Source organism: Homo sapiens, chromosome 20, assembly GCF_000001405.40.
Source record: "Homo sapiens chromosome 20, GRCh38.p14 Primary Assembly".
In the NCBI taxonomy this organism is placed as follows: Eukaryota; Metazoa; Chordata; class Mammalia; order Primates; family Hominidae; genus Homo; species Homo sapiens.
Genome location: NC_000020.11, coordinates 43,928,552 through 43,941,949, shown reverse-complemented (window position 1 = coordinate 43,941,949; position 13,398 = coordinate 43,928,552). Strand labels below are relative to the sequence as shown.

The 13,398-nt window shown below is 50.8% G+C and overlaps 1 protein-coding gene across 6 annotated transcripts in view, besides 2 other annotated features; it reads right to left on the bottom strand.

Moving 5' to 3' along the window:
* The window catches only part of TOX2 (TOX high mobility group box family member 2), a 154,765-nt gene that overhangs the window by 127,667 nt on the left and 13,700 nt on the right, over positions 1–13,398 (bottom strand). The gene's annotated exons all lie outside the window — the stretch shown is intronic.
* Positions 4,865–5,365: an enhancer, noted in NCBI's record as "H3K4me1 hESC enhancer chr20:42565225-42565725 (GRCh37/hg19 assembly coordinates)". NCBI's record gives its function as "activates a minimal SCP1, AML or CMV promoter by ChIP-STARR-seq in naive H9 embryonic stem cells {active_cell/tissue: H9 hESC(naive)}" and the evidence as "EXISTENCE:reporter gene assay evidence [ECO:0000049][PMID:30033119]".
* Positions 5,366–5,866: an enhancer, noted in NCBI's record as "H3K4me1 hESC enhancer chr20:42564724-42565224 (GRCh37/hg19 assembly coordinates)". NCBI's record gives its function as "activates a minimal SCP1, AML or CMV promoter by ChIP-STARR-seq in naive H9 embryonic stem cells {active_cell/tissue: H9 hESC(naive)}" and the evidence as "EXISTENCE:reporter gene assay evidence [ECO:0000049][PMID:30033119]".

The window sequence follows — 13,398 nt, the reverse complement described above, 5'->3', positions numbered from 1 at the left end:
TTTTCACTACAGTAGCAACCAAGCCCATATCAGCCCCTTGCTGTCTTTATTCACAAAACGGGGACAAATCTTCTGAGATTGCTGAGATGTTCCAGCCAAGGTTTACCAAAAACAATTCTGTGAAGGACTCAGGAACCTCCCATCCTATCACATCATTGCTTCCTCCAGGGCAAGGAGGAACCCACAGAGAGCTGAGCTCTTCCTGTGCAACATCCCAAGGAGAGACCAGAAGCGAGTCAGGAAACCTCCTTAAGTCAATAGAAAACACCAAAGCTGAGAGGGTGTGAGCTTACGCAAATAAAAAGAACAGGGCTTTAGGCCAGGTACAGTGGCTCGCGCCTGTAATCCCAACACTTTGGGAGGCCGAAGTGGGTGGATCACATGACGTCAGGAGTTCGAGACCAGCCTGGCTAACATGGTGATACTCCATCTCTACTAAAAATACGAAAATTAGCCAGGTGTGGTGGCACATGCCTGTCATCCCAGCTACTCAGGAGGCTGAGGCAGGAGCATCACTCGATCCTGGGAGGCGGAGGTTGCAGTGAGCCGAGATCGCGCCATTGTACTCCAGCCTGGGCAACAAGAGCGAAATTCTGTCTCAAAAAATACTCAAAAAAAAAAAAAAAGGCTTTAAAACCACCTATTATCCAAATGGCCACCCTGCACCATGATATTAACCCTGGGACTCTCGAACCTTTGTCCTAGAACCAACTTTTTTTCTTAAATGCAGTGCAGGTGAACATAAGGTAACCCACAACAGCCCAAACCCAAGCTTCCACGCCCCCTTCCCTCACATCACCCTGAAGCATATGCTGACAGAGCAACCTTAATAGTAACTGACTAATTTTAAACCCTGTGATTACCAGGGTTGATTTCCATGGAACCTTCCTTTCACAGTACTGAGAACCTCTCATGAGCAGTAATTGCCAAGTTCAATTTTAGCTCTGTCATGCCCAACCATCAGTGCTAACTAAGGCAGCTGCTTCATCGCCAGGTAAGCTGGTAATGAAGTCGGCTTCACAGCTTAATTTCACAATATTGTGATGCCCCCGTCAGCACCTGTTAAGTGCTGCGAAGCTGCAAGCTTCTATTAAACAAATCTCACGCAAGGGAAGTGACTAAAGCCGCTTTGCGCTTCTAAGGTGCCCTGGTCTACATCCTCATGCCCACTGGGATTTTGTGTTTGCTTAATCCCATGTGCCTCGTCTCTGCAAAGCACTGACCACTAAAGTGCCACACCACACCCCTAGGGTGCCCTGATAGCTGCCTCATCCTCTGCAGTCACCTCTTCTCCCTCCATCCCTGCGACTCTGGCTCAGCCTCTCACCCTTCTGGCCTGGATCCCCATAGCAGCCCCTTAGCTCACCCTCCCCCATTTATTTTCCAGGCCAATTAGTAGAGTTTTCCTGGGGGAAAAAAAAAAAGTTGCCAGGTGCGATTGCTCACACCTGTAATCCCAGCAATTTGTGAGGCCGAGATGGGAGGATTGCTTGAGATCAGGAATTCAAGAGCAGCCTGGGCAACATATCGAGACCTATCTCTGAAAAACAGACAAAAAAAAAAAAAGCTAGCTGTGCATGGTGGCGCATGCCTGTAATCCCAGCTACTCAGGAGCCTTATGCAGGAGGATCACTTGAGCCCAGGAGTTCAAGGCTGCAGTGAACTATAATCATGCCACTACACTTCAGTCTGGGTGACAGAGTAGGACACCAACTCTTCAAAAAAAAAAAGTGACGTCCCACCATTTAAAATCCTTCCACGGCCCCACTGTCCTCAAGGTAGAAAGTCTTCACATTGTGTTTTCTTTCAAGGTTCCTGATTGAGCTCTGCACCAAGCTCCTAGACCCAATGCCCCATCCCTCAGCCACACTGTCCCAGGGACTTGCCTGCAGTACCCCAAGCCCCATACACCCCTGGACTGCACTATCCAGATGAACAAGTCCCATGACTTCATTTTCCCTAAGGAAAAATGTCTCATACAGGGCATGACTCCCTGCCCTTTAACTACAGAAGGAAACCTCTGCAGCATATCTGAGCATATCCCTGTGGTCACTCAGCAGCAGCACCGACTGAATCACATAAGCACCCCATAAGACACTCTTGGGGTGCTTAGTAAGCATCTACTCTGTGCCAGGCACTGGTACTTTCTGTCATCTCTTTAATCCTTAGACAATCTAGCAAAATGAAATGAGTTGTTTTTCTTTTTGGGTGTGCCAACAGGCTCAGAGGAGTTAAGTAAGCTCTTGAGGCCACACAGCTTCTAAGCTGCAGGGTCAGTTTAAACTCATGTCTGACTATACGAATGGTCTCACCAAATGAACCCTCGCTTATCTTCCAACCTCACCGCACATATTCATTTGTGGGACTTACACAATGCCACATTCCAGCCTCATGTTGTTAAAATGCCTCACTAGTCTTGGCATCCGTCCTACTCTTATACAGTTCCCATCCCCTCCCCCTGGCTGGGTTCTGGCAGCAGAACTGTACTTTGAGTGCAGTGGAGCATGCTTGGGCTGACTTTGTGCTAACTTCAGCTTTTGCCCAGAAATTGGCGGAAGCTAGACCAAGGTTTTGCCCTTTCTTCTTACTCAACTCCTCCAGTCCCAATATGATGAAATCCCTATGCAAACCTTACCACAAATTAAGTAGATGCAATTATTATCCCCATTTCACAGAGGAGGAAACTGAGGCATAGAGAGGTTAAGTAACTTACTAGATGTGCACAGCTAGTAATTGTCACAGACAGAATTGGAACTAAGGTCCTAGGACCTAACGTGCATGCACAGCACCACTATGCTATGCTGTCCCTGAGTCACTGATCTCCTCGTTTTACAGATAAGGACACTGGGGCTCCAAGAGACAAGGGGGTTACCCAAGCTGGGGCTTTGGCATCCTGTCTGGATGGCTGCAGAGGCAGGTGAAGCCAGCGACTCCAGGAAGCTCCACCCTCAACTTCCAGCTAAGGCAAGACCATGCTTCTAGAAGCGAGGGCACCTGTCCACTCCTGCCAGAGCTGCACAAGGAGGCCATAAGGCAGAAACACAAGGGCTGGAAAAACCCCCTGGCCTTCAAAGCTGCCTCAGATGCCCCTCTACCACCCCTGGACCCATTGTGCTGGGGGCAGGCGTCACAGACCAGTCACCCCCTCAATGCAGGGAGCGACAAATGCTCTTTGCCTGCCATGTGGTGGCTGGGCCTCCAGTTCAGCTAAAGCCAGTGTGGAAATAAGTCCTGGGGCATGAAGATGCAGGTTCGAATGCCAGCTCTGTCAAATACTAGCTGTGAATCCCGGGTAAAGAGCTGAGGCTCTCCGTAAAGTGGGATATTAATGCCACCACCTCGCTGGCCATCTGAAGACTGAAGGCGCTCACAGGCTCAGCGCCCTCCCTCTCAGAGTAGATTTGCTGCCATTTCAGTGCCCACATCCAGCAGTATCCTGATAACTCCTAGTGCACCCATCAGGACATGGGGCAGGAGCCAGGATTGCTTCAACTTATCTCATTTGAGACGTGCTTTCCGGGACAAGCATTTTACTATTAAGTAATAATAAAATCTGAGGTTGAATGGAAACCCAAGGTCAGGACTGAACTTCTCAGTCCTACCTCAGGCAGGAGGGGAGGACTAAGGGGTCCCGGTGGGTCATCCCACAGCGGGTGGAGTTGTGAGTGGGGCCCGCATCTGTGCCAGGCCCTTCTCCTGGCCATCACTGGGACAGGCTGCCAGTCCACATGACATATCCCGGTTGCCATGGTTTCTATTTATTCTGGGGAAGAAAGTTCCACTGACATGGGTCCTGGTAAGAGGAGAGTTTGCTTCACTCCACCGTGCAGTCACTGGGGTGCCCGCATTGTCCACAAGCATTAGACTGAAGGTGCTGAGGTTAACAGCCCTCAAAGCTTCCTCTTCACTTGACCCAGGGAGGATGGGAGCTGGCCCTATTTCCAGGTGAGAAAACGGAGGCTCAGGACTGGGCAGCTACTTGCACGGTTTCATGGAGACATTGGCAAGAAGCTGGAACCCACACTCCAGACTCCTCCCATTTTTCCAATCTGTGCTGGTTCATTTATGATCATGATTCTGGCACCCAGTGATGCTAGGCCTTTTCCAAAACCACAGCCCCTGATCTGCCTTCAGAGAAGCTGTTGAAGGCTCCAGGGACATCAAAGGCTGCTTATGGGACTGGGCAGGCAGATCCGCATGGGGACTCGATGCTGCGGTCGCCCCCAGGATGGCCCTCCCAGCCCTGCACATGGACGTAGAGGCTGGCTTAGGGTTGGAGACCTGGGGTGTGGCTGGGGAGGGTCCCCAAGTCATTCCTCTGTGCACCCTCCCTACGGGCCTCCCCAGCATCTGATCACCTCATTCTCAGTCCATGGTTCAAAGACCACCAGCCAGCAGGACTGAGTCCAAAACCCCTCACTTCCCTCACACACCAGTCCCTCCCAAATCCTCTGCAACTGACCCCTTCCTTGCTTCCTCCTCCCCCTTCCTCAAACTGAACTCTGTGCCCACAACACCCTTCCCAATGCTCAAATCCCTCCTGGGTCTCCTCTCCCAGCCCACAAAACCCAGGAGCTGCCCGTGGGAAGGTTATCAGCCACCTCCCTCCTGAGACTGCATCGCACGGAAATGCTCAGGGGACCTTTGCGAACCAGAAGTTCCTTTCCCAGCCCAAGGTTGCCGACACTTAAAAGAAACTGGCACTTTCTTGGAGTGGTCAAGTGTGCCAGGCCCCTCCTTCCACAGGACCTTCGCGCGTGCTCTTCCCTGCCTGGAATGCTTCCCCCGTGCCCATCATCTAGCAACTCCTAGTCTTCCCACAGTCCCCCCAGAGCTCTCTGTTGCCTGGTCTCCCGGCCCTGTGTGGCTCTCCTTCATCACACCTGTTCTGCTTTAGTTATGTTTCATCATGTGATTATTCACTGGCTAGACTAGAGGCCACATGCCCACAGCACAAGGCCTGTCTTGTTCCCTGCCACAGTGCCTGGCACACAGCAGGGACTCGATGAATGTCTGCTGTCTGAAGAGTGGGGGCAGCTGTGTAGATTACAAAGATGACCACTAATCCTAATCATAGCCTCCTGTCCTGCATGCATGCCCTTGGCACCGTGAGGCTGCCACTCCTCTCATCATCTCTCTCTTTATGCTTTGAATATGGGCTTGGCCATATGCTTGTATTTGACAAATGGGACAACAACAAAGGTGACACAAGCAGAGGCTTGAAAAGCACCAGGACACTGGGGTTTGCTCTCTCTTGATGCACCAGGGAGCCTGGGAGCCCCAGGTGCACATGCCCGAGCTAGCCTGCTGGAGGACAGGAGGTCATGTGGGGAGCTGAGCCAACAACCAGCCAGCCCCCAGCCAGCAGCATGCAAACTGCCAGCTGCACGAGGGAGGCTGTCCTAGATCACCCAGCTCCCAGGCCACTGGCCAACTGACCATGATGCAGGGAGGGAGAGCCTGTAGAGACAACCAGCCTAGCCAGGAAGCCTTGCAGCCAACCCATGGAATCATGAGCTTAATGAAATGGTTATTGTTTTAAGCCATTAATTCTGGTGGCTTACTGTGAAGCAATACACAACCAATACAGGAGCTAATATAAGAGCATTTGCGCTGATAATACTCACAGCCAAAGAACATGTGTCTGGTCTACTCAACATCAAGTTGAAAACAACAAAGCCTCTTGGGGGCTGGGAAGCAGCTGGGATCAGGAAAGTTCAGACCCTGAGTTTGAGCCTGCTGGCCTATGACATTGCCTTGAGCTGGGACAAGGTGGGCACTCACCTCTGTGGGTAGGTCTGCCTGTCTCTACCAGTGGGAATGACAAGACGCCATGCCAAGGCTTCTCAGGTTGATGGTCTGAGTCTCAATGAGGAACACATGAAAGGGTCTCCAAAAGGAAGCTAAAGACCCCTGTGCATGCAAGAATATGTGGTGCAGAATAAAGACCATGACTTCAGAGCTAGACGGATTCAGGTTCACGATCCACTCTGCTTCTTTTTTTTTTTTTTTTTTTTTTTTTGGGATGGAGTTTCACTCTTGTTGCCCAGGCTGGAGTGCAATGGCATGATCTTGGCTCACTGCAACCTCCTCCTCCTGGGTTCAAGCGATTCTCCTGCCTCAGCCTCCTGAGTAGCTAGGATTACAGGCATGCACCACCACACCCAGCTAAATTTTTGTATTTTCAGGAGAGACAGGGTTTCACCATGTTGTCCAGGCTGGTCTCGAACTCCTGACCTCAGGTGATCCACCCACCTCGGCCTCCCAAAGCGCTGGGATTACAAGCATGAGCCACCCCACCCGGCAGATCCACTCTGCTTCTTACAGGCTGTGTGACCTTGGGCAAGTTTCTCTGAGCTTCAGGTATCCCATTTGTGACATGGTTAATAGTAATACATAATTTGCAGGGCTGTTGTAGGGGTTAAATAAGATAGTACACAAAAGACACCTAGCACAGTGCTTGGCACATAGTAGGTATTCACTGAACAGTAGTTCCTCCTCGTCCCCGCCCCAACTCCACTGGTACCTTTCATTCGACCATCTTATCCCCACATAGCAGCTTAGCACTAACAGTTTCCATGTTTGATATCAGCATATCGTGCCAGGTTCCAAGCTGTGACTATAGCTTATATAACATCCTACGCAGGAGAGGCTTACAGGGAAGATGGCGGAGAAAGAGTTGGATGTTCCCAGCTTTGACTGGGAGAGAAAACTCAGGCCACAGAGGTGGGGACAGAGCAAAGAAGACTGAAAATAATTCAGAACCGAATCCTCCCCACAAGGTCCTGACGCACCCCAAGCCCAATCTGTCTTCATCTGGGATAATGATTTGTGCTCCTTCCTCCATTCACCCCCAAGGCACCAGTGCACAGAATGGGGCTGGCTGCATGGGAAGGGTAGAGAAGGAAGGCTCACCACAGTGGCCAGACACCCAGCTGTCACTAAGATTCCTGGACAGAGCATGATTCCAGGGATGCTGTCGGCAGCTTAGCCTGGCCTCTGCCCCACAAAACACTTACAGCAAAAATAGATGACCCCTGTCTGGAGTAGCCCAAATGTCCAAAAAATGGTCTACAGAAAGGGTCCAGGATGGACTCCACCCACCCCAACACACACCCCCACATACACACACACACACACACACACACACAAACACACACACAGATGAAGTCTGAATCCAGGGAGGGTGGACAATGTGGAGAAGCTGGCTCAGAGTTGGGATGGGAAGAGGGTCCCAGGACAGAGGGCATGACACTGCACCATCACGCCTGCCCCAAAGCCCTCCATGGCTCCCCATACAGAATCCAAACCCCAGAGCCTGGTAGTCAGTGTCCTCCCAGCCCCCTCTACACGAGCCTCTGCCCATCCAGTCAGGTCTGCAGTAATTCCCAAGGCCTCCAGCTCCCCTCCCCTTTCCACACACCCCCTCCCTATGTGGTATGGTCCCTTAGGAAGAGAAAGTATGTTCCTGGCAAGCAGGCTTGGGTTCCAATCCCACTGTGACCCCGGCCCAGTGCCCTCACCTCTCAAGCCTCAGCTCCTCACCTGCACGGTGGAGGTGGCTTTCTACATAGGATTGTTGTGAAGATTAAATAAATAACGTAAGTGAAATACCCATCCTGTGATGGATGCTAAATAAATGCCTCTGCCTTTCCCCATTCCTCTATGTTCTCCTCCTATGCTTCTTGGAGGTCCCACCTAAAGTTTCCCTCTGCCAGGAAGTCCTCCCTGAACACTGCAGGCCTCAGTGGTAATTTCTGCCATTTCTGACTGAGGGCAGGTCTCTCTCTCTCTCTCTCTCTCTCTCTCTCTCCTTACCTTGGGCTCTGAAATAAGAGCTGCCTCTTCCTGTGCAGACCCTCCCCCCATCCCCACCCTCACCTTCCATCACAGCCTGAGGACCAGAACAAAGGACCAACCAAACCATCACCTTGTGAACCTGCAGCACACGCAGCTCCCAGAAAGGAGAGGCGGCCACCCCAGGGGACACAGCAGAGTCCACATCGGAGCCCGAGTCCTGCCTCCCAGTCCACCCTCCTCAAGGCCATCCTCAGGCAAAGATACTGTGACTGGATGACCACGAGTTCCACCCAGAACCCCTCTTTCAGGCTGTGCACCCACACCCCGGGGGCTGAGTGCTGATGCCCACAGCTGCCCACAGCTGCTCCCTCTGGAGAAATACCTGCTGGGAGGTGGCACAGGAGGCATGATACCTCTCCCTGTCCTGGGCAGCCCATGGCCAATGACTAACTGACATGTGGGCTGCAGAGGCAACACCCCAGCCTCCAGGTGGGACCCGCTTTCTCGTAACATCCCTGCTCCAGGGCCTTCCCCCTTTCTCCTGCAATCACTCCCCACCAAACCTCTCGCACAAGAACCCTCGTCTCAGGCTCTGCTTCTAGAATCTCAGCCTAACACAAGCGCCTTGATTCTCAAAGCATGGCCCCCTGAGCAGCAACATCTAGCCCTTGTTAGAAATGCCAGATCTCTGGACCCGCCCCAGACCTACTGAATCAGAATCTGCGTTCTCACAAGACCCTCATGTGATTCAGGTGCTCTTCAGTTTCAGCTGCGCTGGCCTGAGGTAGGCAGTCACCAGCCCTCTGTGGGGATCAGCCAACTAACCTGGGTATTAACCACACCAACCACTCTGTCATGGCAATCGTATTGCTAATGTGCATGTTATCTGCTATGGTCTGAATGCTGTGGTCCCCCCAAAGTTCACATGTTGAAATCCTGATGGTATTGCAGCTACAGAAATGAGCTAGGTAACGGAGACATTCACCACCTGTGGGGGTCAACGTGGTCCCCTTTGCTCCAGGTGAGTGTGATGCCCAACTTTACCCAGGTAGAAGCTTCTCACCCTTCTGTTGAGCTCTAAACTCTAGTGAACTTACTTGGTCACTAGAATTCTGTTTCTCTTTGGTGCCCCAGGGTCTGCGTTAGTCAATTATAGCCTTTGCCTCTACTTCCTTCTTGAAGGGACTTTGCCCCTGCCACCAGACAGCCAGGAAATGTTCCCCAAAAGCAACCCCGGGGAAGGTGTTAGAAAGAGGGGCAGATGAGATTTGTCCAGGCCCCTGGAGGATGCACGGAGGGAAGCAAGGCCCACTGATGTCTCTGCTTAGAGGAAGAAGCCGCTGACCTGCCCTCAGTCAGAAATGGCGGGGGGGGGCAGCAACCCCTCTCCAACCCCTTGCCTTCACCCAACCCAGGGTGCGGGCCCCCAATCCTGGTGTGAGCCCCTCAAAGCCCCTCCGAGGGGATGTCCATGACCTTTGCAAAACTAAATGCAATAACCAAGTCCTATGTGCAGAGAAGACCCCAGGGCCAGCCCCAAAGGCTGCAATAATCCAGACGTGTGTTTGGACAGGAGGCACCCTGCAAAGCTCCGTCAACTCTGCCTGTCGCCTGAGGAGGGAAGCGGTTCACCTTTTGCTAATCGTCCTAATTCATTTTTTATTACTAACTTCCCTGTTTTCTATTTGCTGTCTGATTGAAGATATTACCGAAGGCATTTAAACAGCATCAGACCGTACCACAATGGCAAACATAACTCTTTTTATTGAAATCTGCATTAATATACATATAAGTCCCTGAGATCACAAAGACCTCAGGGTCCACATGCTAGACCCTAAATGAAGGCAGATTTGGCAAGAGATATACACAATGGAAGGGTGTTCCGAAGGTAATAAGCTGTGCCAGGAGGGCAGGATAAAATGGGCACTTTCTCATGCTTCTGGTGAGTGGTGATGACCCTTTTGGAAAATGACAGGTCAGCAGAAATCAGGAGCCATAAAAATGCTCACTCTTTTTTGACCCAGAAATTTTACTTCCTGAGTCTTCTTTGATACCCCACTCTCCACCATACCCCAGATCCAACTCATCCCCAAACTGCATACATCTTCCCTCCTGTTACCTCCCACGCCCTTACTTCTCTTCATTTCCACTCCACCACCACAGTCCAAGCCAGAGTGGACCAACAGAACTTTCTGCAGGGATGGAAATGTCTGTATCTGCGCTGCCCAATAGGGGCTAAAATACCCACATGTGGCTAGCGAGTACTCGAAATATGGCTAGTGTGAATGAACTAAATTTTGTTTTATTTTCCTGTATTTTCAATGAAAAGAGCCACACACGGCTACTGGCTACCTTACTGGATAGCATGGCCACAAGCCATCATCAATTCTCCCCTGAGCCACAGGCACCACCTCCCAACTATTCTCCTGCCTCCACTCTTGCCCCGTCCAGTATTTTCCCCCACAGAACAACTGCAAAGATTCTTCTAAAACGCAGCACACCTCCAGGACTCCCACTGCTCTTAAGTCAACGTCCAAGCACCCAGACATGGCCTCTGAAGCCCATGTCTCCTATGGACATTGGGCAGCCCAGCCCCAGGGAGCCCACAGTGTCAGAGATGCCAGATGGGAAGGGCAGGAGCACAGGGGAGGATAGCAGTGAAAGCCTCCAGGAGGGGGTGGCGCTTGAGCAGAAATTTAACAGACGTGTATGTTTAGCGAGGCGTGGTGGCACATGCCTGTAGTCCCAGCTACTTGGGAGGCCGAGGTGGGAGGATCGCTTGAGCCCAGGAGTTGGAGACCAGCCTGGGCAACATGGTGAGACCCCTTGTCAAAAAATTTAAAAATTATCAGGTGTGGTGGCCTGTGCCTGAAGTCGCAGCTACTCAGGAGGCTGAGGCAGGAGGATCGCTTGAGCCCAGGAGGTCGAGGCTGCAGTAAGCCATGTTTGTACCACTACACTCCAGCCTGGGCAATAGAGCAAGCCTCTGTCTTTTAAAGAAAAAAAACATAAAAGATGTATGTGTAGGAGTTTGCCTGGTGGGTGGGAAACACTAAAACCAGAGGCCTGGCAGTCAGAGTCGCTCTGAAGGCTCCACCCATGAGCAAACGACAGAGATTCCCCACACTTCCAAAGCCGACATTCTAGTGAAGGGGATAGAGGAGGGAGGAGAGAAGGACATAAACAATAAACATCAGGAATAGGTAGAAAGAAAGCGATGGGTAAGGGGCTTCCAGAAAACCATGGTAGGGCAGTGCAGTTTGCAAGCCTTGAGTATTAAGAAGGCAAAGTGTCAAACACTGCCCTTGAATCTGCACCGTGGGATCATAGCAGGTGATTTCCCTCATTTCCTAAACTTTTTGGCAGGTAACATAGTGTTCATAATTTACAGTTTAATTTTTTTAAAAAAGAAGAGTGATAACTTCAGGAGAGAAGCCACCAAAAAGTCCTGCTTGCTCAACAGAAACATTCCCATGGGCTGGAGAGAGATTTTATTATCTCCGAAGGCCAGGCCAACTGTGCCCCAGATACCCCAGCCCAAGCAACTGGGAGTGACGCCTCCCTCCTGACAAAGGCAAGGTCATCATTCCCAGGGAGATGGGAAGGGGACAAAACAGGGGCTGCATCTGCCAGCCTTGCCCCAAAGGGTCAAGCATTGATTAAAAGCCATGAGGACAAGGATTTCAAACATCATCCCTCTTGAGTCATATCTCAACTTTCCTCCTTGGACTCAGCTAGAGATGGGCCTGGCATGTTTCTACAAGGAGAATTATAGAATTCACATGGATTAACACTTGCAGGCCCCAAACACTGTGTCCCTCACATATATGTGTTTAATCCTCCTGGCAACAACATATAAACAGGGTAAGTGAGGCCCAGAGAGGGTGAGTGGATTATTCTTAGAAACACAGCCTGGGCTATGTTACGGTGGTCATCTCTGAAAAATATAACCTGCCTCATTCATTCATTCAATCTTTCAACAACTTTTTACTGAGCACCTACTATAGGTCAGACACCATGGGGATGCAATGGTAAACAAAATAAGCATGAGCCTATTGCTTCTTAAAGTTTATTATCCTGAAGGGGGAGCAACCAAGTAATTTCACAGATATATGATGCCACGAAGAAAAATACTCAGAAGCAGCTGGGCGCATTGGCTCACGTCTGTAATCCCAGCGCTTCGGGAGGCCGAGGCGGGTGGATCATGATGTCAGGAGATTGAGACCATCCTGGCCAACATGGTGAAACCCCGTCTCTACTAAAAATACAAAAAGTAGCCGGGCATGGTGGTGTGTTCCTGTAATCCCAGCTACTCGGGAGGCTGAGGTAGGAGAATCACTTGAACCTGGGAGGTGAAGGTTGCAGTGAGCTGAGATCGCACCACTGCACTCCAACCTGGGCAACAGAGCGAGACTCCATCTCAAAAAAATAAAGAAACAAATAAAAAATTAAAAAATAAAAATACTCAGAGGCTATGGTAGACAAAAAGAAAGACAACTGCACAGATGAGCAGGTCAGACTCTGGGAAGACGAGGATGAAGCTGAGGTCAGAGGCTGGGCAGGAGCCAGCCATGTAAAGAATGAGGGCAAGAACATTCCAGGCAAAGGGAACAGCATGTGCAAAGCCCCTCAAGCGCAAAAGAACAGGGTGGGGGGATCTGAGAAATAGCAAGAAGGCCAGGTGACTGGAATGGAGTCACTGAGGGGGACTGACTCTGACTTTGCTCATCACCATGTCCCCAGCATGAAGCCTGGTTCCTGGAACAGAGGCTGGAAATGCAGGCAGAGGCAAGCTCACGTGAGGACTTATGGGCCAAAGGAGTTGGATGTTATCTACTCACCAGGGCAAAGCACTGGAAGGCTTTAAGCAGAAACCTAAGAAGATGTGATTTAGGTTTGTAAGAGTTCATCAAGCTACAACAGAAAGCCATTGAGCAGCTTTGTGGGGGTTTTTTTCCCTGTTTTTGTTTGTTTGTTTGTTTGTTTGTTTTTGAGACAGGGTCTCACTCTGTCGCCAGATTGGAGTGCAGTGGAATGATCTCAGCTCACTGCAACCTCTGCCTCCAGGGTTCAAGTGATTCTTCTGCCTCAGCCTCCCAAGTAGTTGAGATTACAGGCACGAGCCACCATGCCCAGTTTTTTTGTTGTTGTTTTTTTTTTTTTTTTTTCATATTTTTAGTAGAGACAGGGTTTCACCATGTTGGCCAGGCTGGTCTTGAACTCCTGACCTCGAATGATCCACCCGCCTCTGCCTCCCAAAGTGCTGGGATTACAGGCGTGAGCCACCACGCCCGGCCCCACTGAGTAGCTTTGTATGGAGAAGAGACAGGATCCAATTTACGCATCATAAAGACATTGATGGTGGCCACCATGGCTCCTCAGCTCATCCTGACCTTTGGTCACTGGATAGTAAATGTCTCCAAACTCCATGGAAAGCGAAGTTTCCCCAGCTGGCATGTGGAAGGCAAAGCAAGACAAAGAAGCGAATGACAGGGCGTGTTGACAGAGCGTCAGACAGAAGCATGGCCATAGGCAGATGAAAAATTGTCCCACAGGACACCTCGACAGGCCGTGACTTGCTGTTAGCATTGAGCCATT